Source organism: Homo sapiens, chromosome 11 (assembly GCF_000001405.40).
Source record: "Homo sapiens chromosome 11, GRCh38.p14 Primary Assembly".
Lineage (NCBI taxonomy): Eukaryota > Metazoa > Chordata > Mammalia > Primates > Hominidae > Homo > Homo sapiens.
In genome coordinates, this window is record NC_000011.10 from 18,384,035 (window position 1) to 18,410,090 (window position 26,056).

Here is a 26,056-nt window from a genome sequence, read left to right on the forward strand (position 1 = left end):
AGGCCCTGCAGCATAAGTGAGGCAGGGGCAGGTGTCAGGGGCTGGTGATCTCCCTCTGATTCAGTGGGTAAAGGAAGACCAAGGCTATGAGGATTTCTCTGAGGCTTTCATCCCTTCTGTGGCTAAAACTGGAGTATGAGCTCAGTGAAACTGTCCTTTGAGAGAGCCTGACGCTGCAAGTGTGTTTGTACAAAAGGCAGAGCTCGGCCTTGTACACCCAAGGGCCATGCAAGGCTAATGCAGCACCAGGGAGAGGGAGGCTAATTAGATAAAGCCCTGAAGTAGCCCTGTGAGCCAGAGGAGCTGTCTGGACCTTCCTGTAGCCTTGGGCAGGGGAGGGAGCTAGGGAGTATTTATTACTTTTGCCCTTTGAAATCCAGGAAGCAAAGGGCTAAGTACTTGCTTACTATCCTCCCAGACTGTGAGACAGGAAGTCAGAGGTACAGAGTGGTGAGTTTGAAATCCACTTGGCCACTTTCCCGCTGTGTGGCCTGGAGCAATTCAATGTTTTGTGTTTTGGCAATATCACCAGTTAAATATTAAAGCTCCTGCTTTCCTCTTCTGGTCAGGGTGAAAACACCCTGAGAGAATGCTTGTGAAAGCCACCACAGCTACACGCAAGGGAAGGACCTGATGTCCTTTATCTGGCCACAGAAGAAGCCTTCTCCACATCGGCACCGGCCCCCCACAGCCTGAGCTCCCTCCTGAGCATCTGAGGAGTTTTCTTTGACTCCTCATAAGAGAATCTCAGGCTTCCCTTCTAGCACCCTACAGAAATGAGTAGGGCTGCCTTTTCAGGGCAGTGTCCTCTGAGCAGGCTCAAAGAACAGGGCAGAGAGCCCCCTTGTCCAGCAGAACCTAATTTTTAAAATTTTTTGTAGGGACAAGGTCTTACTGTGTTGCCCAGGCTGGTCTTGAACTCCTGGTTTCAAATAATCCTCCCATCTAGGCCTGCTAAAGTGTTGGAATTACAGGCATAAGCCACTGTGTTGGGACAAGAGATATATATATATATATATATATATTTTTTTTTTTTTTTGAGACAGAGTCTTGCTCTGTCACCCAGGCTGTAGTGCAGTGGCACGATCTTTGCTCACTGCAACCTCTGCCTCCCAGGTTCAAGCAATTCTCCTGTCTCAGCCTCCCGAGTAGCTGGGACTACAGGCACCCGCCACCACGCCTGGCTAATTTTTGTATTTTTTAGTAGAGTCGAAGCTTCGCCATGTTGGCCAGGCTGGTCTTGAATGCCTGACCTCATGATCCACCTGCCTCAGCTTCCCAAAGTGCTGGATTACATGCATGAGCCACCACGCCCCGCCAAGTTTTTTTGTTTTGTTTTGTTTTGTTTGTTTGTTTGTTTGTTTGTTTTTTATTGGGAAGGAGTCTCGCTCTGTCTTGCCCAGGGTGTAGTACAGTGGCATGATCTCGGCTCACTGCAACCTCTGCCTCCCAGGTTCAAGCGATTCTCCTGCCTCAGCCTCCTGAATAGCTGGGATTACAGGAGCCCACCACCACACCCACCTAATTTTTGTATTTTAGTAGAAACAGGGTTTCTCCATGTTGGCCAGGCTGGTCTTGAATGCCTGACCTCAAGTGATCCACCCGCCTCGGCCTCCCAAAGTGCTGGAATTATAGGCGTGAGCCATTGCGCCAGGCCCAAGATAGTTTTTTTTTTTTTTGAGACAGAGTCTTGCTCTGTCGCCCAGGCTGGAGTGCAGTGGCACGATCTCGGCTCACTGCAAGCTCCTCTTCTCAGGTTCACGCCATTCTCCTGCCTCAGCCTTCCGAGTAGCTGGGATTACAGGCGCCCGCCACCACGCCCGGCTAATTTTTTAAATTATTATTATTTTTAGTAGAGACGGGGTTTCACCCTGTTAGCCAGGATAGTCTCAATCTCCTGACCTCGTGATCCCCCGGCCTCGGCCTCCCAAAGTGCTGGGATTATAGGCGTGAGCCACCGCGCCTGGCCAAGATAGTTTTTGTTAACAAATTTAACAAACACCCACCAGTGTACTGGGCATTTGGGATCCTGTTTTGGAACTAATATGGGGGACAAGAGGATGGCAGGCATAGGTTTCCTGTCGCCATAGGCATTTCTCCCTTATCTCAGGAGCAGTCCTGATCACTTCCCAAAATGGGGAGCGCTTTGCCTCTGAGTCCTGAGCATTGTAAAAATGAAGGTGTGTTGTGTGGAAGCTGGACTCACTACCGCAGAGCCTCCTTGGACATTACAGCTGGAAGAAAGAGGCCCTTTTTTTTCTTTTTGAGATGGAGTCTCGCTCTGTCGCTCAGGCTGGAGTGCAGTGGCGCTGTCTGGGCTCACTGCAACCTCCGCCTCCTGGGTTCGATGCTCGTACCTCAGCCTCCTGAGTAGCTAGCATCACAAGAGCCCACTATAGAGCCCGGCTAATTTTTGTATTTTTAGTAGAGATGACATTCCGCCATGTTGGCCAGGCTGGTCTTGAACTCCTGACCTCAAGCGATCCACCTGCCTCGGCCTCCCAAAGTGCTGGGATTACAGGCATGAGCCACCGCACCCGGCCAAGAGAGATCCTTTTATGTTTGCAGTCAAGGGTGCTGAGGCTACAGAGGGAATGCAACTGCCACAATGTTACCCAGGTGTCCATGACATAGCTGGGGTAAGAATACATGTTTCCTGACCCCCAGGCCAGTGTCCCCTATCCATCAGCTGCCCCGTCGTCTCTGTCCCGCCATGCCCATCACTGTCCTTGCCACCCAAGGTGTCAGAGGGAAAGGCTATCACAACTTTTCATGGTCCTCCCCTGCTGTGATTAGACAACAGACAGTTTCTGCTTGTGGGTGCCACTGGTGACTGTCTGGCTTGAAGGGGCCTTGGGACTCCCTCTGCAGCACTGATTTTGGGGGCCCTGGGTTTGGAAGTCACTTAAATTCTGGTGACAGTCTTTGCTCTGGAACTTCTCAGTGGGATGGGAAGCTTGAGGCCCAAATCCCAGCCAGGGAAAGAGGGAGAGAAAGGACACAGCTGCTACTTATTTCCTGGGTTAGGAAGTGGCTGGGAAGGAATCTAGAGTTTTTGAGATGGATTTTATTAGGGAACAGTGTGAGGAATGAATTCTGGAGGGAATGATGGTCCAAGCCAAAAGAGGAAATGCAGGCAGCATCTTGTGCCTGAGGATGAGCCTTGCCTGGAGGAGGAGCGGGTGAGGAGGAGGAGACAGGCATTAGGGGACCAGGGGTTGTCACCCAGGAGAACCTGAACAGTCAGGGTGGAGTCTTCTGGCATCCATTCCTGTCATCTGAGAGACAGATGGGGCTTGGGATGAGGAGAGGGACATGAAGGAGTTTCTCAGGAGCAGGTGCCTGCTCTCATGCCAAAGAGAGGAGCCTCTACTTTGGTACGTACATAGTAGGCCCTGGTATCTCAGGAACAGAGACTGATGAGGTTGTCTGCATCTTGGGCCCTGCAACTCAGGAAAGCCATCAGTTTTGCAACCACAGAAAAGGTAAAAAAAAGAGTCAGGCTGTCAGTGAGGGTTTGAAGGGACTGTGGGGCTGTCTAGGGTTGTATGAGAAGTGTATGTTCTGAACACATGTGGTTGGAGCTGTATATGGTCTGTACATGTTGTAGATCTGTATGTTGTGTATTACTAAAAAAAATCCTGGTGCCTTCCTTTCCTTACTCTGTTGCCCAGGCTGGAGTTCAGTGGTGTAAGCATGACTTACTGCAGCCTCAATCTCCTGGGCTCAAGCAATCCTCCTGCTTCAGGCTCCCAAAGTCCTAGGATTACAAGTGTCGGCCACGGGCTGGGCACAGTGGCTCACGCCTGTAATCCCAGCATTTTGGGAGACAGATCTGGGTGGATCACGAGGTCAGAAGATCGAGACCATCCTGGCCAACATGGTGAAACCTCGTCTCTACTAAAAATACGAAAAAATTAGCTGTGTGTAATGGTGCGCGCCTGTAGTCCCAGCTACTCGGGAGTCTGAGGCAGGAGAATAGCTTGAACCCGGAAGGCGGAGCTTGCAGTGAGCGGAGATCGCGCCTCTGCACTCTGGCCTGGCAACAGAGCGAGACTCCATCTCAAAAACAATCAACCAACCAACCAAACAAACAAGAACAAAAAAACAAGTGTTGGCCGGGCGCGGTGGCTCACGCCTGTAATCCCAGCACTCTGGGAGGCCGAGGGGGGCGGATCATAAGGTCAGGAGATCGAGACCATCCTGGCTAACACGGTGAAACCCCGTCTCTACTAAAAATACAAAAAATTAGCCGGGCGCGGTGGCAGGCGCCTGTAGTCCCACCTACTCGGGAGGCTGAGACAGGAGAATGGCGTGAACCCCGGAGGCGGAGCTTGCAGTGAGCCGAGATTGCGCCACTGCACTCCAGCCTGGGCGACAGAGTGAGACTCTGTCTCAAAAAACAAAAAAAACAAAAAAAAACAAATGTCAGCCAGCATACCCTGTCTCCCCCAAATTTCTTAGCCTGGCATTTAAGGCTAAAGATTAACCAGACTCACCATGTATTTTCCTGCCCCTGTGCATTTTATTCATGCTTTGTTCTCTGCTTTCTCAGCCCCTGATCTTTACCAATTAAAATCCTCTTCTAGCTGCAGCTCAGATGCTACCTCTTCCAGGAAGCCTTTTTTGGTATCCTTACCCAAATGCCCTCTCTCCTCTGAATGGCAGAGCACTTTTCTCTACCTCTTTTGCAGTAGTTACATTCTCTTATGCATTCTGACTATTAAGGGCGAGGCTGTCAGTTTCCTCCACTAAATACGAAAGTCTTCGAAGGCTTATAAGTTTGTTGTATTCATTTTTGTATCCCCAATACCTAGCACAGTCCCTTTACATAGCAGGCATTTAATTCAAAATATATTTGTTAAACAAATAAATGTATGTGTTGGGTTATGGAGATAAATGAGAAACTTGTGGGGTTTTTTTGTTTGTTTTCTGAGATGGAGTCTTGCTCTGTCACCCAGGCTGGAGTGCAGTAGCGCAATATTGGCTCACTGCAACTTCCGCCTCCTGAGTTCAAGCAATTCTCCTGCCTCGGCCTCCCGAGTAGCTGGGATTACAGGTGCCTGCCACCGCACCCGGCAAATTTTTGTGTTTTTAGTAGAGACAAGGTTTCACCATGTTGTCCAGTTTGTCTCGAACTCCTGACCTCGTGATCCGCCAGCCTCGGCCTCCCAAAGTGTTGGGATTACAGGGGTGAGCCACCGTGCCCAGCCTTTTTGTTGTTGTTGTTGTTTGTTTTTGAGACAGGGTTTCACTCTGTCTCCCAGGCAGGAGTGCAGTGGAGCGATCATAGCTCACTGCAGCCTCAACCTTCTGGACTCAAGCAATTCTGCCACCCTAGTCTCCCGAGTAGCTGGGACTACAGGCACACGCCACCATGCCCAGCTAATTTTTTTTTTCTCGTAGAGATGAGGTCTTGTTATTTTGCCTAGGCTGCTCTCAAACTCCTGGGCTAAAGCGATCCTCCTGCCTCAGCCTCCCAAAGTGCTGGTATTAGAAGGATGAGCCACTGTGCCCGGTGCTAGGAAAACTTCTTGCCCTGTGCTAGGAAAACATTTTTTCCTAGTGGAAAGAAAGTTTCCCAGTGGAAAAAAAGTTTATTTGCACTAGGAGCTTACAGTTCAGTGACAGAGACATATACAAATATGAATTAATTTATTTGGGAGGCTGAGGTAGGCAGATGGCTTGGGCCCAGGAGTTCAAGACGAGGCTGGACAACATGGAGAAACCCCGTCTCTACTAAAAATATAAAAATTAGCCGGGCATTGTGGTGCACACTTATAGTTACAGCTACTCAGGAGGCTGAGGTGGGAGGATCACCTGAGCCTGGGATGTGGAGGTTGCATACAGTGAGCTGAGATTGCACTGGGTCACAGAGGGAGACCCTGTCTCAAAAAAAAGGAATATATTGAGTGCTGGTTATGTGGGGCTCAGGTGGGTAGGGATGATGGCAAAGGAGAGGGCACTCAGAGTGAAGGAACTCCCTAGGTGGAAGGCTTGAGGTGAGAGAGTACATGGCACATTTGGAGAATGTGGTGCGTAGCCCTGGGACTGGTACATAGGAAGCATGAAGGAAAATAGATAAAACCAGAGAGGGGATGTGGGCGCTGGATCACAGGGGTTTGGCTGTGTCTTTCCAAAGTGTTTGGACTTTATTCTTGAGGCAATGAGGGGCCACCGAATGCTCTTAAGGAGGCGTATAATAAATACAAGATGAAGGAATGACTCAGCACTATGTTTTGGATGGACAGCATCCTGCAGCCAGGGCCATTTTAGGAAAATCTTACAGTGGGTGCTAAGCAGCATCTATTCTCTGAGGCCAGCTTGTCCCTTGGTTAAACCACCTCTTTATGGGATTTTCCCTTTAAAAAAATTTTACTGATACATAATAGTTGTACATATGCATGAGGTACATGTGACATTTTGATACAAGCATAAAATGTATAATGATCAAATCTGGGGAACTGGTATATCCATCACCTCAAATATTTGTGATTTCTTTGTGTTGGGCACATTCTGAATCTTCTAGCTATTTTGAAATATACAATAAGTTATTAACTATACTCGCCCTATCTAACTGTATTTTTGCACCCATTAACCAATCCCTCTTCATCCTTCATCCCCACTATCCTCCCCAACTTGTGGTAACCACCATTCTATTCACTACCTCCATAAGACCAAATTTTTTAGTTCCCACATGAGTGAGAACATGCGATGTTTGCCTTTCTGTGCCAGTTTATTTCACTTAACATAATGACCTCCAGTTCCATCCATGTTGCTGCAAATGACAGGATTTCATTCTGAAATAGCTGAATAGTATTTCACTGGGTATATACAGCACATTTTTTTCTTCTTTTTTTAAATTTTTTTTTTTGAGACAGGGTCTTGCTCTGGATTGCAGTGGTGACATCACAGTTCACTGCAGCCTGGACCTCCCTGGGTCAGGTGATCCTCCCACCTCAACCTCCTGGGTAGATGGGACTACAGGCATTTACCACCATCCTCAGCTAATTTTTTTTTTTGTATTTTTTGTAGATATGGGGGTTCACCATGTTGCCCAGGCTGGTCTTGAACTCCTGGGCTCAATCTGCCTGCCTCAGCCTTCCAAAGTGCTGGGATTACAGGCATGAGCCACCATGTCCAGCCCCTCTGCTTCCTGGGTTCAAGCAATTCTCCTGCTTCAGCCTCCCAAGTAGCTGGGGATTACAGGCATGTACCACCACGCCCGGCTAATTTTTTTATTTAGTAGAGATGGGGTTTCATCATGTTGGTCAGGCCGGTCTTGAACTCCTGACCTCAGGTAATCCGCCCACCTCGGCCTCCCAAAGTGCTGGGATTAGAGGCATGAGCCACTGCACCTGGCCAACACATTTTCTTTATCATCCATCCATTGATGACACTTAGATTGAGTTCATCCATACTTCAGCTATTGTGAATAGTGCTGCAATAGTCATGGGAGTGCAGATATCTGTTTGATATACTGATTTCGTTTCTTTTGGATATATACTCAGATTGCTGGATCATATGGAAGTTGCAGTTTTAGTTTTTTGAGGGGTCTCCATACTGTTTTCCATAGTGACTGTGCTAGGGGTTTTCCCTTTTGAAGAGGCCACATCCAAAGAACACTTGGTCAGATTAAGAATTCTGTTCTGTCCCCTGAAAGTGTTTTCTGACCTGTTCCAAGGGTTCCACATTCTTCTCTGGCTTTAGTACAGAAGTTCTACTGTTTGGATTGTATTAGTCAGGGTTCTATATTAGTCAGGGTTCTCCAGAGAAACAGAACCAATGGAAGAATATATATAAAGAGATTTATGAGGAGGAATTTACTTATGTGTTTATGCAGGCAGAGAAGTCCCATGATCTTGCCATCTGCAAGCTGGAGACTCAGGAAAGCTGGTGGTATAAATTCCAGTTCGAGCCCAAAGGCCTGAGAATCAGGAGAGCCAAGGGTCTAAGTCCCAGTCTAAGGGCAGAATACCAAGGTCTCAGCAGATACACCCATTGGCACCCACAGCCTCTTCTGAGCCTGGGACTGGTTTGGGCCCCCTAGATAATTTCTTGCCCTTTGTATGGAGTGATGTGGGACAACATCCTATAATAGAGAGAAAATCATAGGCTTTGGGGTTAGTCAGCACTGGGTTAAAGTCTCAGCCAAAATCACTTACTAGCTGCACTACCTTAGCAAAGTCACTTACCTTTCTGAGCCTTGGTTTCCATATCTGAAAAATGGGGATAATTATGCCTACTCCAAAGGATGAGTATGGGGATTACCTAGCTGGCTGCCAGCACCATAGCAGGTGCTCAGTAAATGGTATTTGTTTTATTCATATTTGTGGAGTCAAATACTGGCTGTTGTTCTGCCTAAGAAGCCTGAAGCTGTGCTTGGAGCAAGCTGTTGCTAGGTATCATAAATTAGGGGAATGAAGACTCTACCTAGTTTATCTTCACAGGTCATCTCAGAGTGCCCCAACCCAAGCCTTTCAGGTGAAAATTCTTCGTCTCCCCAGCCAACTTCAGCTCTCTGCCTTCTGCACACCTCTTCCCAGCAGCAGTGGTCACATTTGGTAGGCAGGCAGGGGCCCAGCCCTGACTGAGAACACTGTTGCAAAGACTGAGAAACCGGAAAACACTGTGGCAATCTGCCCTGCCCTGAGGTACTCTGAAGAATCAGTGGCCCACCCCTAAACTTTCCAGCTGTGTGTTTGAGGTGAGAGCCCCATTTCAGAACCTAGAGTGATCTTAGAATCTAGAGTGATGGGAAAACTGTTAGAACATGCAAGCATGCCCTGCTATTTTTTTTTTTTTTTTGAGACAGGGTCTCACTATGCTGCCCAGGCTAGTCTCGAACTCCTGGCCTCAAGCAGTCCTCCCACCTCAACCACATTGGTGCTGGGATTACAGGCATGAGTCACTGCACCTGGCCCCTTGTGCTATTTTGGAGCTGAGGTTAGAGTTTTCCGTCAAAACCAAGAAACTCAGTTATGGATCTATCTCAAAGCTGCACTGGGCTGCTGCTGTAGGTTCAGGGAGTAAGTAAAGCCATCCACCCCTTTGGGCTGAAAGTTCCAGCCCTCTAATTCCCTAATCATTTGGTCTTTCCCATGACTGGCTCCTTCCTGAGGCTATCTAAGACTCCTCATTCATTAACATTAAGTCAGGGAAAAAGGCTCTTTATAAATAACAAAAGACATTCCTATCAGAAAATTCAGGAAATTTTGGCATACTCAAGGGCTTACCAAATATATTTCATAATATACCCCACAGTGGGGAAGTATTGGTACAAATTAAAGAAGAGATGGAGGAGGGCGGGCTAGGCAATGGAATCAGCAAGAATACAGGCCCAGAGGTAAGTATGATAAGAAAACAAAAAATTGAGCTGGGCACGGTGGCTCACGCCTGTAATCCCAGCTCTTTGTGAGGCCGAGGCGGCCAGATCACTTGAGGCCAGGAGTTTGAGATCAGCCTGACCAACATGGTGAAACCCCGTCTCTACTAAAAATTACAAAAATTAGCCGGGCGTGGTGGCGCCTGGCTGTAATCCCATCTTCTCAGGAGGCTGAGGCAGGAGATTCGCTTGAACCCGGGAGGCGGAGGTTGCAGTGAGCCGAGATCAGCCCACTGCACTCCAGCCTGGGCGACAGAGCGACTCCGTTTCAAAAAAAAAAAAATTAATAATTAAAAAAAAAATCGCAGGGCAAGTGGGCGCGCTTGTAGTCCCAGTCACTTCGGGGAGCCGAGGTGGGAGGATCGCTTGAGCCAGAAGGTCGAGGCTGCAGGAAGCCATGATCACGCCACTGCCCTCCAGCCTGGGTGACAGAGTGAGACCCTGTCTCGAAAAATACCAAAAAACAAATAAACAAACAAAAAACCAAAACCAAAAAAACAAGCCACTGACAGTTCTTGGGTATGGTTGAGACTCGAGATGAGATGCCAGTGGGGTGGGCAGTAGAAAGTGCAGAATAAAATGTACATTTGAACTGAGTCACCCTGCAAGGCCTGAGAGGCCAAGGCTTCACTGTGAGTGGGAGCTGGTAGGCTTAGCAGCAGAGGGAAAAGCAGCGTCGAGTTTTGGAGGTCACTCGACTTAGGTAAGAACAGACTGACTGACTGCTAGGCATTTTCTTCCTTTCGTTCAACAAATATTTGTGGAGTGCCTATTACGTGCCAGAAGCTGTTCTGGACACTGAGAAACAGGGATGAAGAAGAAACAGATCCAAGCCTTCCTGAGAGTAACCTCCCCAGGTTTCATGGATGAGGAAACTGAAGGTCGTCCTGACTCAGGCTCATGGCTCCGACCCCGGCTTCTGTGGTTGGAGGGCAGCACCTTACTTAGACTCCCAGCGCACGTGGAGCAGTCTGCCGGTCGGTTGTCTGGCTGCGCGCGCCACCCGGGCCTCTCCAGTGCCCCGCCTGGCTCGGCATCCACCCCCAGCCCGACTCACACGTGGGTTCCCGCACGTCCGCCGGCCCCCCCCGCTGACGTCAGCATAGCTGTTCCACTTAAGGCCCCTCCCGCGCCCAGCTCAGAGTGCTGCAGCCGCTGCCGCCGATTCCGGATCTCATTGCCACGCGCCCCCGACGACCGCCCGACGTGCATTCCCGGTACGGTAGGGCCCTGCGCGCACGGCGCCAGAGGGATGGGCGGGTAGAGCCAACTGCCTCTGGTTCTGCTGGCCTCCGCTGCTCGCGAAGGGATTCCTGCTCCCGGGAGGTGTAGGAGCCGCTTTCCAGAAGCACAGCCCAGAGACGTCTGGGCGGCGGCCCACACAACGCATGTGTTCGGAGCTCGCCGCGCTCTGCTTTTGCTCTAAGCGGGAACCATGGCTTCTGGCCACGCTGGGGAACCGAGGAGGTGGCCGCACCCAAGCAGGGGTCGAAAGCCCGGGTGGATGCGGAACAAGGATATGATAGGCCTTAAGGGTGGGGGATACCTCTGGGCTCGAAATCGGCGGGCGGTGCAAAACTCGAGGTCCAGTTCTCGGAGCCCATAGAGCCAAAAAAGCCTCAGCTTGTCCGGGGCGGGTTCTTGAAAGACGGAAAGCGGCTGAGTACCACGCGGCTTGCATTTTTCTCTTGGGACGCTCGAGAGGTGGGCTCCGTGAGGGCAGCTGCTGCCTGCAGATTATAGGGAGCCCTTTGCGCATTTATTAAGAAGCTACTGGTGTATCTCGGGCTGCGCTAGGCACGGCGCATGCAAAGATGAAGCAGGCAGCATCCCAGCCCTTCCGCACCTCAGACGGTCAGTTGAGTAGGATCCGCCGGTACCAACTCCTCCTTTTAACAAATAGGGAGACCGAAAGCTAGGAGACAGTCAGGGATCTCTAAGTTCCCAGTGAGTAGGAGGCAGAGGTGAGGTGTAGAACTCGTTTTTGCATGTCTCTCGCCTCTAGACGCACCCTTCCCTCATCCCATGCCCTCCCACCTCCGCCCCTACATTAAAGGTAGCATTGGATCCCGGGGCCGTTCAGTGAAGCTAGCAGGTGTCCGCAGGAACTCCCTTCCCCCTGCCAGGCTAGAAACCTTACAAGGCTGTCTAGAAATAGCAGTGATTTGTAAGGAGAGACCCGGCTCCAGCTTGGTGACTCTGGGCTGACTGCCTGCCTAGAGGTCCTCTCGGATTTTTGCCCTTTGGAGTGGTGTCAAAACTAGACGTGATACTTTGGGGATGCAGCCTGTGATATTTCCTCCAGCGAATGCAGTGCAGGGTTGGATTAACAAGGTGGAAAGAATTCGAGGGTTCCACCAAGTAGCTATTAACTCTAGGGCTGCAGGCCTCAGGCCTTCTGCAGCTATTTCTACACTCCCTGTACTGAAACTATTTCTTCATACTGGGCCTGACAGGCCTTTGCAACAAGGATCACGGCCGAAGCCACACCGTGCGCCTCCCTCCCGGTTGGTTAACAGGCCCTGGTTTCTAGTATTGCGATTTAAAGTCTGGCGCTGGCTGCGCGCCAGACCTGGGAGGCTGCCAGCTAGGCTTCACGTTGCTGGCGTCTGCTTCGGGGCATTCATTAGGTCTGAAGTCTGAATCCCAGCTCCCTCCCTCTCACCCACTGAGCTGCATAGCTCCAGATTGCCTCTGCTTACGGGCGGGGCTTCTCAGCCTTCTGCCTTCTGGCCCGATGCCCGCTTCCCAACGGCCGGAGGCCGCTAGACTAATCGGCTTCGCCCTGCGCGCTGTAATGCGCATGCGCACGCGCACAAGTTCCTGGGCCCGCCCATCTTCCGGACTTGGGCGGGGCGTAAAAGCCGGGCGTTCGGAGGACCCAGCAATTAGTCTGATTTCCGCCCACCTTTCCGAGCGGGAAGGAGAGCCACAAAGCGCGCATGCGCGCGGATCACCGCAGGCTCCTGTGCCTTGGGCTTGAGCTTTGTGGCAGTTAATGGCTTTTCTGCACGTATCTCTGGTGTTTACTTGAGAAGCCTGGCTGTGTCCTTGCTGTAGGAGCCGGAGTAGCTCAGAGTGATCTTGTCTGAGGAAAGGCCAGCCCCACTTGGGGTTAATAAACCGCGATGGGTGAACCCTCAGGAGGCTATACTTACACCCAAACGTCGATATTCCTTTTCCACGCTAAGGTATGGGCCTTCACTCTTCACAGACCCTGTCATTAGGCCTTTCAACTCTCTTTTGGCAACCATTAGGTTTTTTCCCCTCCCTTTTTAGTCATCTCTAGTGATTTATAGTGGCAAATACCCCCAAAGGAAGTAAAATAGCTTAAAAAAATCTCTTGGTTAATAAACATTAAAGAAGCTGTAGTGACACTAAATGTTTTTCCTCCTATAGATTCCTTTTGGTTCCAAGTCCAATATGGCAACTCTAAAGGATCAGCTGATTTATAATCTTCTAAAGGAAGAACAGACCCCCCAGAATAAGATTACAGTTGTTGGGGTTGGTGCTGTTGGCATGGCCTGTGCCATCAGTATCTTAATGAAGGTAAGTGAGAGTCTACCACACTGGAAGCCCATACCTTGACCCCATCCTCTACCCCCACTCCTACCCCTAGAACTGTATTATTACATTTCATGTAACAGTATTTAGATTTATGCACTCATTCGGATAACTTTCTGTGAAACAAACTTTTGAAATATGATAATACACCAAAAGTGTATCTGAAATTAAAAAGAATCAAAGGTTGTCAGGCTGGAGACCCAGTTCCTAAAATTCATTATTCTGTATTAACATGCATGGATTGACTACCAATGAAAAGGAAGGGTCCATGATTTTAAATGAGCCAAAATTCTTTTAAAGTGATTTTTGAATTGAAAATGACAATTCAAAAATTGTCATTTATTGGTAAAATTATATGGGAAATCATAAGTTCTCCCACTCAAATCTCATTGCCCCTGTGCCTTGGATAGCAATTTTGTTATCAATTATGGAGCTAAAATTTAATTAGAAAAAAGAAATTGTGAGTAAAGCACTCCTTATTACACTATTGAAAGCTGATTTATATTTAAAAGAAATTGAGGCAGCTTACAACATTAAAATGTCTGAGGCGGGGCACAGTGGCTCATGCTTGTAATGCCAGCACTTTAGGAGGCTGAGGTGGGTGGATCACGAGGTCAGGAGATGGAGACCATCCTGGCTAACACGATGAAACCCCATCTTTACTAGAAATACAAAAAATTAGCCGGGCGTGGTGGCATACGCCTATAGTCCCAGCTACTTGGGAGGCTGAGGCAGGAGAATTGCTTGAACCCAGGAGGTGGAGGTGGCAGTGACCCGAGATAGCACCACTCCACTCCAGCCTGGGCGACAGTGAGACTCCATCTCAAAAAAAAAAATCTGAAGTTAAGATGTGGAGTGTCTAATAAAAGTAAAATGATGAATTCTGGGTTCTAAATAGAAATGGATTCAAGTGAGAAGGGACTAAAGACAGAAATGAGCTATGAAAAGGCCTCGTAACAACACAGGTGACTCTACATATGTTCTTAGGAAAGGCCACATAATACACCAACTTTTATTCCTTACCCACTAGATGAGAAATTGATGCTGTTTTCCCCACACCTACAAACCGCCTATGTTTTTTCTCTGTGATGGCCTCTGGCTCAGGTGTGGGTAAGAAGAGTAACTGACACTCATTATATTGTGGATGATTTAGGGATAGATCTGCAGCTTGAATAACTTTTGGTAACGATAGACCACATCCAGTTGTATTAAAGCTGTTATTGGTGCTCCTGGCCTGAAATGGACCTATGAACTTTGAGTTGCAACTATAAGGATATTTTTTGCCAGTATTATACACTGCACAAACCTATTTATCCATAACTGTTAGTATTGGTTCATATATGGAATCAACCAGGGAATAGTTCAGATTCCATCTCTGAAAGATGGGCGGAAATCAGACTTTTTAACTTTTTAAGTTTTTTTTTTTTGAGACGGAATCTCGCTTTGTTGCCCTGGCTGGAGTGCAGTGGCACGATCTTGGCTCACTTGACCTCCTGGGTTCAAGTGATTCTCCTGCCTCAGCCTCCCGAGTAGCTGGGACTACAGGCACCCACCGCCACGCCTGGCTGATTTTTGTATTTTTAGTAGAGACAGGCCTTCACCATATTGGCCAGGCTGGTCTTTTTTTTTTTTTTTTTTTTTTTTTTCTGAGAAGGAGTCTCGCCGTGTCGCCCAGGCTAGAGTGCAGTGGCGTGAACTCCGCTCACTGCTAGCTCTGCCTCCCGGGTTCATACCATTCTCCTGTCTCAGCCTCCCAAGTAGCTGGGACTACAGGCACCCACCACCACGCCTGGCTAAATGTTTGTATTTTTTAGTAGAGACGGGGTTTCACCATGTTAGCCAGGATGGTCTCGATCTCCTGACCTCGTGATCCGCCTACCTTGGCCTCCCAAAGTGCTGGGATTACAAGCGTGAGCCACCGTGCCTGGCCTGGCCAGGCTGTCTTGAACTCCTGACCTCAAGTGATGTGCCCGCCTCGGCCTCCCAAAGTGTTGGGATTACAGATGTGAGTCACTATGCCCGGCCAGAACATTTCTTACTAATTTCAAGTCTTGATGCTGGTCAATATCACCTAGTTAAATGAATAACAACCTAAAATTGGTGTGTAGGATGGAATTTGAGAGAGTAGACAGAGCAGTTTTATATAATTGGAAGTTATTCTAGCAACTGCCAGTCCAGTGTTCTGCTTCCACATCTGCAGTGGTGGAACTCCTATAGAGCTCGCTTCAGTGGGGAGACAGGGCTGGAGAGAGGGTCAGTGCTATCTATGTAGGGTGTAATCTGTAAGTCAGCTTTTGAAATGGGGTGCCCTCTACTTTGAATATCTCGATACTGTACTAATAAAGTAACAGAACTCTCCTATGCCAGAAATATAGAAATTTTTCATGCTCTTCTAAAAATCTAGAAGTGGCAATTTTCCATTTAACTAAAGATTTGATGTCTTTTAGGACTTGGCAGATGAACTTGCTCTTGTTGATGTCATCGAAGACAAATTGAAGGGAGAGATGATGGATCTCCAACATGGCAGCCTTTTCCTTAGAACACCAAAGATTGTCTCTGGCAAAGGTTGATTTCAACAAGTTTATATTATAATCCATGCTTGACTTAAATTCTTTTTCCAGATGGTCTCCATTTGTTGCTTAGGGTAGAGTGCAGTTGCACAATTATGGCTCACCACAGCCTCGAACCCTGGGCTCAAGCAATCCTCCTTCCACTTCATTACCCCCTCCCCCTCACAAAGAAACTGGGACTATAGGGTATGCTACCATGCCCGGCTAATTTTTTTACTTTTTGTAGAGATGGGGACCCACTGTGTTGCCCAGGCCTGTCTTGAACCACTGGGCTCAAGTGATCCTCCCTCCTTAGCCTTCCGAAGTACTGGGATTGCAGGTGTGAACCACTGTGCCCGGCTTTAGACTTAAATGTTTTATCAGGCTTGAAATCCTAGCTCTTTAAAGATTTTGTTTTAAATGCCGGGTGCAAGAGCCTGGGAACAATTTCACTTAGGTGCCTGTGAATATCAAAGTTTCAATTTCTGGCAAATGGTTTAAAATAGAAATCCAATTTGTCCATGCTATGCAAACCATCTGAATTAGAATGTAATGAGTAAAGCTTAAACCTTAGGTCTGTATTTAACCACATTGTGTTACTTACTTGCCCCCACATCCTTTCACACACGAAGTTGAGAATAGGGTAAATAAATGAGCCTGTTCAGCTAATACTCTTGGCTTGACCCTTTCACACTTAACAGCACCAGCCAAGAAACCTGAATGTGAGCCCAAATAGTGTCTATTTTGATACCTGAAAATCACTGGCCACCTTGCTGATGGGCAACTCCCTTCATCACTGGTTTAACTCTCTTGTGCCATAGGGTATCTAGAAGCAAAATATGTTTGTTAAGTGTAAAGCTGTCTCTGCTTAAAAACAAGTCCCCCTACCACCACCACCACACACACACACACACACACACACACACACACACACACACACACACACACACGAAATTGCCTGTTCCTGGGCTGATAGGACACCAGTTAAGTAGAAACAGGAGTATGGAAGAGTGTGAACGTTGAGCTTGGGGATCAAAAATTTGAGGATATGTAAGAAATTAATAGGAGAATCAAATAATAAACTTGATTTCCTCCAGCTCTCCCTAATTGTAGTTACATAAAGTTACAACTTGACTAAAACTACAAGGAAGATGTTGACATGCTCTTCCTCCATTTAAGAAGCCATAATGATAAAACTCTAAGAACAAGAAAGGTTTGTGGAGCATTTATGGAACAAATTTTTGCTGCCTAGGTAAAATTTATTCTAAAGGCCTTAATCTGGTCATTATTCCCCTTTTCTCTAGACTATAATGTAACTGCAAACTCCAAGCTGGTCATTATCACGGCTGGGGCACGTCAGCAAGAGGGAGAAAGCCGTCTTAATTTGGTCCAGCGTAACGTGAACATCTTTAAATTCATCATTCCTAATGTTGTAAAATACAGCCCGAACTGCAAGTTGCTTATTGTTTCAAATCCAGGTGAGGCTTTTGACTGCATAAAAATTGACAAGCTATAGTAAAACTGATAGTATATGATATATATATTATATATATTTTAAATATTTTGAAATATTTTAAAAAATACATTTTTAAAAATATTTTCGAATATTATTTTAAAATATATATATATATTTTGAGGCGGAGTTTTGCTCTTGTCGCCCAGGTTGGAGTGCAGTGGCGCAATCTGGGCTCACTGCAACCTCTGCCTCATGGGTTCAAGCGATTCTTTTGCCTCAGCCTCTCAAGTAGCTGGGATTATAAGCGCCTGCCACCACACATGGCTAATTTTTTATATTTTTAGTAGAGACAGGGTTTCACCATGTTGGCCAGGCTGGTTTTGAACTCCTGGCCTCAAGCAGTCCATCTGCCTCCCAAAGTGCTAGGATTACAGGCGTGAGCCACCGTGCCCAGCCACGCATATTTATTGATTCATTTATTTTTCTTTTTTTTTTTTTTTTTTTTTTGAGACGGAGTCTTGCTCTGTCACCCTGGCTGGAGTACAGTGGCTTGATCTTGGCTCACTGCAAGCTCCGCCTCCCGGGTTCATGCCATTCTCCTGCCTCAGCCTCCCGAGTAGCTGGGACTACAGGTGCCCACCACGACGCCTGGCTAATTTTTTGTATTTTTAGTAGAGACGGGGTTTCATCAGGTTAGCCAGGATGGTCTCGATCTCCTGACCTCGTGATCTGCCCGCCTTGGCCTCCCAAAGTGCTGGGATTACAGGCGTGAGCCACCGTGCCTGGTGATTCATTTATTTTTCATGTTTCATTTCCCTTCTAAGGAGATTTGTGTGTGTGTGTTTTTTGTTTTTTAATAATTTTAAAACATTAAAGGGAATACAATGCCTTTAAATGTAGTTGGAGCTTAAAATTACCTGCCCAAGATCTTGGATAAGGGATAAGTTTGTGAATAATTGTTATTCTCTTTTTTTTTTTTTTTTTTTTTGAGACAGTCTCACTTTGTAGCTCAGGCTGGAGTGCAGTGGTTCGATCTTGGCTCACTGCAACCTCTGCCTCCTGGGTTCAAGCAATTCTCCTGCCTCAGCCTCCCAAGAGCTGGGATTACAGGCACGTGCCACCATGCTCGGCTAATTTTTGAAGTTTTAGTAGAAAGGGGTTTCACCATGTTGCCCAGGCTGGTCTCAAATTCCTGAGCTCAGGTGATCCATCTGCCTCAGCCTCCCAAAGTATTAGGATTACAGGCGTGAGCCACCGTGCCCGGGCCCATAATTGTCTCTTAGTTGATAAACAGTTTATTTTCATAAAACTGTTACTATACTTTTTTTTTGAGAGCATGTCTCACTCTGTCGCCCAAGCTGGAGGGCAATGGGATGATCATGGCAGCTTTGACCTACTAGGCTCAGGTGATCCTTCTTCCTCAGCCTCTTAAGTAGCTAGGACTACAGGCGTGCACCAATATGCCTGGCTAGTTTGTTAAAAGTTTTTTTGTAGAGATGGGGTTTTGCTATGTTGCCCAGGCTGGTCTTGAACTGCTGGCCTCAGGCAGTCCTCCCACCTCAGCCTCCCAAAGTGTTGGGATAACAGGTGTGAGTTGTCATGCCCAGCCAAAACTACTTTTTGAATAATTAATGGACTTGATATACATAGTGTAGAGGCTTAAAAATATTAACAAAATTATTGGTTAGCCATGATCAATATCAAGATCCTGAAAAGCCATATATCTGGAGTAGCCTATTATTATCTAATGATCACCTAGTATCTGGTTAAGTGTTTTCTTCATAGTAGGTATATCTTTTTTGTGTGTAGGGAGAGGATAATGGGTGATTTTTATTTTCTCCTTTTTCATAGTGGATATCTTGACCTACGTGGCTTGGAAGATAAGTGGTTTTCCCAAAAACCGTGTTATTGGAAGCGGTTGCAATCTGGATTCAGCCCGATTCCGTTACCTAATGGGGGAAAGGCTGGGAGTTCACCCATTAAGCTGTCATGGGTGGGTCCTTGGGGAACATGGAGATTCCAGTGGTAAGCATAAGTTATTTTCTTTTTGTTTTTGAAAAGATTATATAAAAAGTCGATGGGCATTATATTATTCAATTAGAGCCTAATCAAATATCCATTCAGTAGGATGGAATGGTTTCCCGAAATCTAGCATTTTGTATAATTATATGTTAAGAATTGTTAAGATTGTTGCCATTTTATATGGCATTTTATGGCGAGGGGGACGGGAAATGAAATTTCTCTTCTTACCATGGATATCTTAAGACTGTAGTTCTTAGGATGTCTTCAGTCATTTAATATCACAGCTGTTTATACCTGACTTGTACTGCCTGGCCCTGAAAAGATGAGCAAATCCAAATGCACAAAAGTTATATTATCACAGTTGAAAAATGTTATGATTAGGTTCTGTATGCTAAGAAAACCCCCCTTATGTTCTCATACTATCTTTATATTTCAAATATACATGGGTTAAACATTTCAATTGGCTAGAGAAACAGGTTAGAATACAGTTAAAATTCTTAGTTTTACATAATGTAAGTAAATGAAAATCTAATCTAAAAGTGAGTAATGACTACATTAGTAGTCTTGACCATCTACCAAAATTGAGTATTCTTCCTCCGAAGATAAGAGAATTAGGAAAATGAATCACAATTACTAATCTGTTGGTACATGAAAATAAATGTAGTCTGTACTATTTCTTTTAGTGCCTGTATGGAGTGGAATGAATGTTGCTGGTGTCTCTCTGAAGACTCTGCACCCAGATTTAGGGACTGATAAAGATAAGGAACAGTGGAAAGAGGTTCACAAGCAGGTGGTTGAGAGGTAATAAATCTTTCAATTTGGCAACACAGAATATTAACATTTACTATTTTTATTTAAAAGGTTAAAATTGTAATAGTATTTGCATTTGAGAACTTTTTGTTAGAAAACTTGTGTGGTTTTTTTGTTTTGTTTTGTTTGAGACAGAATCTTGCCCTTTCGCACAGGCTGCAGTGCAGTGGCGCAATCTTGGCTCACTGCAACCTCTGCCTCCCGGGTTCAGGCGATTCTCCTGCCTCAGCCTCCTGGGTACCTGGGACTACAGGCATATGCCATGACGCCCGGCTAATTTTTTGTATTTTTAGTAGAGATGGGGTTTCACCATGTTAGCCAAAAAAAAAAGAATGTGCCTCACCTTGCAAGGCCCAGGCCCTAGGATCACTTGAGCTCAGGAGTTCAAGGCCAGCCTGGGCAACAGGGCAAAACCCTGTCTCTACAATAAATACACAAATTAGCCAGGCATGGTGGTGAGCACCTGTGGTCCTAGCTACTTGAGAGGCTGAGGCAGGAGGATCGCATGAGCCTGGGAGGTCAAGGCTGCAGTGAAGCGAGATCCTGCCACTGCACTCCAGAGCCTGCTAGCCTGGGTGACAGAGTAAGAGCCTGTCTCAAAGGAAAAAAAAAATTATTGAAATAGGGAAGCTTTCAACTTGGTGGCATTATTTACCTTTGTGGTCCTGTGTGGACCTCAGGTCTATAGAATTAAAAAATGAATCATAGCCGGGCATGGTGGCTCATGCCTGTAATCCCAGCACTTTGGGAGGCCGAGGCAGGCAGATCACGAGGTCAGGAGATGGAGACCATCCTGGCTAACACGGTGAAACCCCGTCTCTACTAAAAATACAAAAAATTAGCCGGGCGTGGTGGCAGGCGCCTGTAGTCCCAGCTACTCGGGAGGCTGAGGCAGGAGAATGGCATGAACCCGGTAGTTGGAGCTTGCAGTGAGCCGAGATCGCGCCACTGCACTCCAGCCTGGGCGACAGAGCGAGACTCCGTCTCAAAAAAAAAAGAATCATAATCTTTAGTTCATAACATATTCTTGTGATTGGTCAAGCAAGGCCCTCTTGTTTGTATTTGTTTAATTAAATAAAACCTGTGAACCCACCACCCAGCTCAAGAAAGAAACACAATATCTGTCAAATAACATTGTTGAATCAGAATTTAGTATTCTGCTGGTGTTTGGAAATAAGTGGATTCTGTGCTCTTTCCCCCAGCTATCCCTCTGTCCCCCTCACGCTCCCACTTGAGATAATCCTGAGTTAAGGATGCTATGTTATCTTGGATTTCTTTTTAAAATTCAATATTATATTTTTAAGAATTATCCAATTTTTTTTACAAGTAGCTATAGTTTATTTTTTGATAGCTGTGTAATATTCCATTGTATCAGTATACCATGATTTATCCATTCTTCTGTTGGAGGACATTGGAAAGATTGTCATGTTTTTGCTGTTACTAACAGTACTGTTAATGAATATCCCTGTACATAATATCCTAGCATACATGTGTGCAAGGGTTATTCTTGGTATAATGCAACATTGTGGCATTATTTACTGTAAAATGTGTATTAATGAAAACTTTGTTTTTCTTTCTTTCTCCCACCCTGCTTTTTCTGCCTTTACCTATGGTTTCCTATCATACAGTGCTTATGAGGTGATCAAACTCAAAGGCTACACATCCTGGGCTATTGGACTCTCTGTAGCAGATTTGGCAGAGAGTATAATGAAGAATCTTAGGCGGGTGCACCCAGTTTCCACCATGATTAAGGTAGGTCTATGTAGTGATACGCTGCATTTGAATGCTTTTTGCTGGCTTTTTAAAAAAGATTCTTCTGAGAAAGATTAATACAAGTCTTCCATTACTGACTTAAGTGAAATAAATTAATGTACCCACAGCTTACCTTTTTTGAAAGAAATGGTTGAGCTTTAGGATTAATGTCCATTAGGCCTGTTCAACACATAGATACTTGATAATTTGACTACAAAAAAGTCTTGTTCAATTATGCTGAGGTAGGTGGAAGACTATAAAAGAAATAAACTATTTCTCCATTGGGGAAAATAGAAATTATATTCAAGTTAGCATTATGTTACTATTTTTAATGACTTTCTTTTATACTATTAATTAAATCATAACTGAACACCTGGAAAGGAATTTCTACTTATCAAAGTTTTTTATTTTTTTGAGACAGTCTCCCTCTGTCACCCAGGCTGCAGTGCAGTGGCCGATCTCGGCTCACCGCAACCTCTGCCTCCCAGGTTTAAGCGATTCTTCTGCCTCAGCCTCCTAAGTAGCTGGGACTACAGGTGCGTGCCACCACGCCCGGCTACTTTTTGTATTTTTAGTAGAGATGGAGTTTCACCATATTGGCTAGGCTGGTCTCGAACTCCTGACCTTGTGATCCACCCGCCTCGGCCTCCCCGAATGCTGGGATTGCAGGTGTGAGCCACCGCACCTGGCCTCAAGTTGTATTTTAAAATCTTCATAATTAGGCCACACACAGTGACTGACAGCTGTAATGCCAGCACTTTGGAAGGCCAAGGGCAGGAGAATTGCTTGAGCCCAGGTGTTTGAGACCACCCTAGGCAGTATAGTGAGATCTTGCCTCTGTTAAAAAAAAAAAAAAAAAAAAAGGCCATGTGCGGGCAGCTGATGCCTGTAATCCCAGCACTTTGGGAGGCCAAGGGGTGGATCACCTGAGGTCAGTAGTTCAAGACCAGCCTGACCAACATGGTGAAACCCTGTCTCTACTAAAAATACAGAATTAGCCAGGTGTGGTGGCAGGCGCCTGTAATCCCAGCTACTTGGGAGACTGAGGCAGAAGAATCACTTGAACCCAGGAGGTGGAGGTTGCAGTGAGCTGAGATCGCACCATTGCACTCCAGCCTGGGCAACAAGAGTGAAACTCCATCTCAAAAGAAAAAAAAAAGCGGCTGGGCTCTGTGGCTCATGCTTGTAACCCCAGCACTTTGGGAGGCCAAGAGGTGGATCACCTGAGGTCAAGAATTTGAGACCAACCTGGCCAACATGGTGAAACCCCATCTGTACTAAACATACAAAAATTAGCCAAGTGTGGTGGCGCACGCCTGTAGTCCCAGAAGGCTGAAGCAGGAGAATTACTTGAACCCTGGAGGTGGAGGTTGCGGTGAGCTGAGATCGTGCCACTGCACTCCAGCCTGGGCGACAGAGCGAGACTCTGCCTCAAAAAAAAATTAAAAAAAAAAAGCTTTATAATTATAGAGACTGTAAGTCTTGGGAAACCTGGGAATGCATAGACAAAATGTGAGATTTTTTTTTTTTCATTTCATCTTCAGGGTCTTTACGGAATAAAGGATGATGTCTTCCTTAGTGTTCCTTGCATTTTGGGACAGAATGGAATCTCAGACCTTGTGAAGGTGACTCTGACTTCTGAGGAAGAGGCCCGTTTGAAGAAGAGTGCAGATACACTTTGGGGGATCCAAAAGGAGCTGCAATTTTAAAGTCTTCTGATGTCATATCATTTCACTGTCTAGGCTACAACAGGATTCTAGGTGGAGGTTGTGCATGTTGTCCTTTTTATCTGATCTGTGATTAAAGCAGTAATATTTTAAGATGGACTGGGAAAAACATCAACTCCTGAAGTTAGAAATAAGAATGGTTTGTAAAATCCACAGCTATATCCTGATGCTGGATGGTATTAATCTTGTGTAGTCTTCAACTGGTTAGTGTGAAATAGTTCTGCCACCTCTGACGCACCACTGCCAATGCTGTACGTACTGCATTTGCCCCTTGAGCCAGGTGGATGTTTACCGTGTGTTATATAACTTCCTGGCTCCTTCACTGAACATGCCTAGTCCAACATTTTTTCCCAGTGAGTCACATCCTGGGATCCAGTGTATAAATCCAATATCATGTCTTGTGCATAATTCTTCCAAAGGATCTTATTTTGTGAACTATATCAGTAGTGTACATTACCATATAATGTAAAAAGATCTACATACAAACAATGCAACCAACTATCCAAGTGTTATACCAACTAAAACCCCCAATAAACCTTGAACAGTGACTACTTTGGTTAATTCATTATATTAAGATATAAAGTCATAAAGCTGCTAGTTATTATATTAATTTGGAAATATTAGGCTATTCTTGGGCAACCCTGCAACGATTTTTTCTAACAGGGATATTATTGACTAATAGCAGAGGATGTAATAGTCAACTGAGTTGTATTGGTACCACTTCCATTGTAAGTCCCAAAGTATTATATATTTGATAATAATGCTAATCATAATTGGAAAGTAACATTCTATATGTAAATGTAAAATTTATTTGCCAACTGAATATAGGCAATGATAGTGTGTCACTATAGGGAACACAGATTTTTGAGATCTTGTCCTCTGGAAGCTGGTAACAATTAAAAACAATCTTAAGGCAGGGTGCAGTGGCTCATGCCTATAATCCCAGCACTTTGGGAAGCCCAGGTGGGCTGATCACTGGAGGCCAGGAATTGGGGACCAGCCTGGCCAACACAACAAAACCCCATCTGTTAAAAAAACAAAACAAAACCAAAAAAAACAAGTAACCTTGGTGGATGTCTACTCAAGTTTTCTGCACATTTTTCTGAAAATACAACTGTGACCCTTATCCAGGCCTGAAAACCATACTTGTAAAGGTTAACTGAACAACATTATTGTCATTCCCAACTCCAGGATCTTTTTCCAAAGATTCTTTCCTGAGAGCTAGTTAAGGGAAGGAATTATCTTAAAGCCTGGTTGTCCAATCTTTTGCTTTCCCTGAGCCACATTGGAAGAAGAATTGTCTTGGGCCACACATTAAATACACTAACATGTGCCAGCTGTGGTGGCTGACACCTATAATCCCAGCACTTGGGGAGGCTGAGGCGGGTGGATCAGGAGTTCAAGACTAGCATGGCCAACATGGTGAAACCCCATCTGTACTAAAAATCGAAAGATTTGCCAGGTATGGTGGCCTATGCTTGTAATCCCAGCTACTTGGGAAGCTGAGGCACAAGAGGCTGAGGTGAGAGGATCGCTTGAACCGGGGAGGCAGAGATTGAAGTGAGCCAAGATGGCACCACTGCACTCGAGCCTGGGCAACACAGCGAGACTGTCTCAATAAAAATTAAAGAAATTAACACTAATGATAGCTGATGAGCTACAAAAAAGTTCATGATCTGGATACCTGCTGCCACCTAAAGAGTCCTCACATTCAAAGGGTTGGACACAGCTATAAAGCGTATCGTTCTGTGGATTTTTAGTGTATTCACATAGTTGGCAACCATCACCAGTATCTAATCTTAGAATATAGGCTGGGTGCAGTGGCTTCAAATTCCCAGCACTTTAGGAGGCCAAGGTGGGTAGATTGCTTGAGCCCAGGAGTTCCAGACCAGTCTGGGCAACATGGCAAAAGCCTGTCTCTACAAAAAAGAAATTAGCTAGGCGTGGTGGCAGGTGCCTGTAGTCCTAGCTGCACAGGAGGCTCAGGTGGGAGGATCCCTTGAACCCGGGAGATAAAGGTTGCAGTGAGCCAAGATCCCACCACTGTACTCCAGCCTGGGTGACAGAGTGAGACCCTGTTTCAAAAAAAAAAAAAAGAATATTTTAATTAGCACAAAAAGAGGCCTGTACTTAATCCTGTAGCCTTTTGTAAACTTTGAGTCACCTTCAGTCTTTAAAATTTTTAAATTTACATTAATTTTATATTATTTGATACAATAAATTAGTCAATACCAACATGACTGAAAAATAATATTTAAGTGAAATAGACTGATTCTATTAATCTTTCATGAATTTTCAAATGCAATCTTGTAAAGTTTCCTTACTTATGGGCAAAATAAATGTTCCAGGTTCAGTTTGTACCTTCCTGCCCCAGGCAAGGAATAGGCCAACTCTGCAAAGAAACTTGATTTTTTTTTTCCATAGTAACCTTGGGAACTAAATTAAGCAGGCCTTATCCCCATCTCACAGAAGTTGCCAGTTAGTGTAGAAGCAAATGTGATGCTCAGAACATGGTTCTACTTCCTTTTTTTCCCCCACTAAAGCCCATGTTGCCAAAATAAAACTCAGTACTTCAAAGCCATGTTCTTTAAAAATTCTTTAAATTTTTTTTTTATTTTGGCCAGGTGCGGTGGCTCACGCCTGTAATCCCAGCACTTTGGGAGGCTGAGGCGGGTGGATCACAAGGTCAGGAGATTGAAAACATCCTGGCTAACATAGTGAAACTCCATCTCTACTAAAAATACAAAAAATTAGCTGGGCATGGTGGCGGGCGCCTGTAGTCCCAGCTACT

General features: G+C 45.8%; 1 protein-coding gene and 1 non-coding gene across 7 annotated transcripts, besides 7 other annotated features; both read left to right on the top strand.

The window, feature by feature from the left end:
- Positions 318 to 377: an enhancer, noted in NCBI's record as "active region_4498". NCBI's record gives its function as "activates an Ori minimal core promoter by ATAC-STARR-seq in GM12878 lymphoblastoid cells {active_cell/tissue: GM12878}" and the evidence as "EXISTENCE:reporter gene assay evidence [ECO:0000049][PMID:35858748]".
- Positions 3,753 to 3,826, top strand: MIR3159 (microRNA 3159). Its single transcript, NR_036116.1, has one exon. It is a non-coding gene; the product is annotated as a microRNA 3159 (primary transcript).
- Positions 9,824 to 10,488: an enhancer, noted in NCBI's record as "H3K27ac-H3K4me1 hESC enhancer chr11:18415405-18416069 (GRCh37/hg19 assembly coordinates)". NCBI's record gives its function as "activates a minimal SCP1, AML or CMV promoter by ChIP-STARR-seq in primed H9 embryonic stem cells {active_cell/tissue: H9 hESC(primed)}" and the evidence as "EXISTENCE:reporter gene assay evidence [ECO:0000049][PMID:30033119]".
- Positions 10,135 to 10,224: an enhancer, noted in NCBI's record as "active region_4499". NCBI's record gives its function as "activates an Ori minimal core promoter by ATAC-STARR-seq in GM12878 lymphoblastoid cells {active_cell/tissue: GM12878}" and the evidence as "EXISTENCE:reporter gene assay evidence [ECO:0000049][PMID:35858748]".
- Positions 10,489 to 11,154: an enhancer, noted in NCBI's record as "H3K27ac hESC enhancer chr11:18416070-18416735 (GRCh37/hg19 assembly coordinates)". NCBI's record gives its function as "activates a minimal SCP1, AML or CMV promoter by ChIP-STARR-seq in primed H9 embryonic stem cells {active_cell/tissue: H9 hESC(primed)}" and the evidence as "EXISTENCE:reporter gene assay evidence [ECO:0000049][PMID:30033119]".
- LDHA (lactate dehydrogenase A) lies at positions 10,529 to 24,391 on the top strand. Of its 6 annotated transcripts, none has more exons than NM_005566.4 (8): positions 10,529 to 10,602; positions 12,785 to 12,934; positions 15,397 to 15,514; positions 16,803 to 16,976; positions 18,806 to 18,979; positions 19,660 to 19,777; positions 21,415 to 21,538; positions 23,083 to 24,391. In NM_005566.4, exons 2-8 carry the CDS (start codon positions 12,809 to 12,811, stop codon positions 23,245 to 23,247), a joined length of 999 nt encoding a protein of 332 aa, NP_005557.1. In that variant the 5' UTR covers positions 10,529 to 10,602; positions 12,785 to 12,808; the 3' UTR covers positions 23,248 to 24,391. The 6 variants fall into 6 exon arrangements, 5 of the variants coding, with proteins under 5 accessions (NP_005557.1, NP_001158888.1, NP_001128711.1 ...); NM_001165414.2 differs by lacking the exon at positions 10,529 to 10,602 and adding an exon at positions 12,317 to 12,576; NR_028500.2 differs by lacking the exon at positions 15,397 to 15,514.
- Positions 10,535 to 10,624: an enhancer, noted in NCBI's record as "active region_4500". NCBI's record gives its function as "activates an Ori minimal core promoter by ATAC-STARR-seq in GM12878 lymphoblastoid cells {active_cell/tissue: GM12878}" and the evidence as "EXISTENCE:reporter gene assay evidence [ECO:0000049][PMID:35858748]".
- Positions 11,385 to 11,434: a silencer, noted in NCBI's record as "silent region_3191". NCBI's record gives its function as "represses an Ori minimal core promoter by ATAC-STARR-seq in GM12878 lymphoblastoid cells {active_cell/tissue: GM12878}" and the evidence as "EXISTENCE:reporter gene assay evidence [ECO:0000049][PMID:35858748]".
- Positions 11,889 to 12,390: an enhancer, noted in NCBI's record as "OCT4-NANOG hESC enhancer chr11:18417470-18417971 (GRCh37/hg19 assembly coordinates)". NCBI's record gives its function as "activates a minimal SCP1, AML or CMV promoter by ChIP-STARR-seq in primed H9 embryonic stem cells {active_cell/tissue: H9 hESC(primed)}" and the evidence as "EXISTENCE:reporter gene assay evidence [ECO:0000049][PMID:30033119]".

Excerpts from the sequence above, each read along its gene's own strand:
- LDHA (NM_001165414.2), top strand. The coding sequence starts at position 12,514 with ATGGGTGAACCCTCAGGAGGCTATACTTACACCCAAACGTCGATATTC. Across the intron at positions 16,977-18,805 it reads GCTTATTGTTTCAAATCCAG|TGGATATCTTGACCTACGTG; the intron begins GTGAGGCTTTTG and ends CCTTTTTCATAG. Across the intron at positions 19,778-21,414 it reads CACAAGCAGGTGGTTGAGAG|TGCTTATGAGGTGATCAAAC; the intron begins GTAATAAATCTT and ends CCTATCATACAG.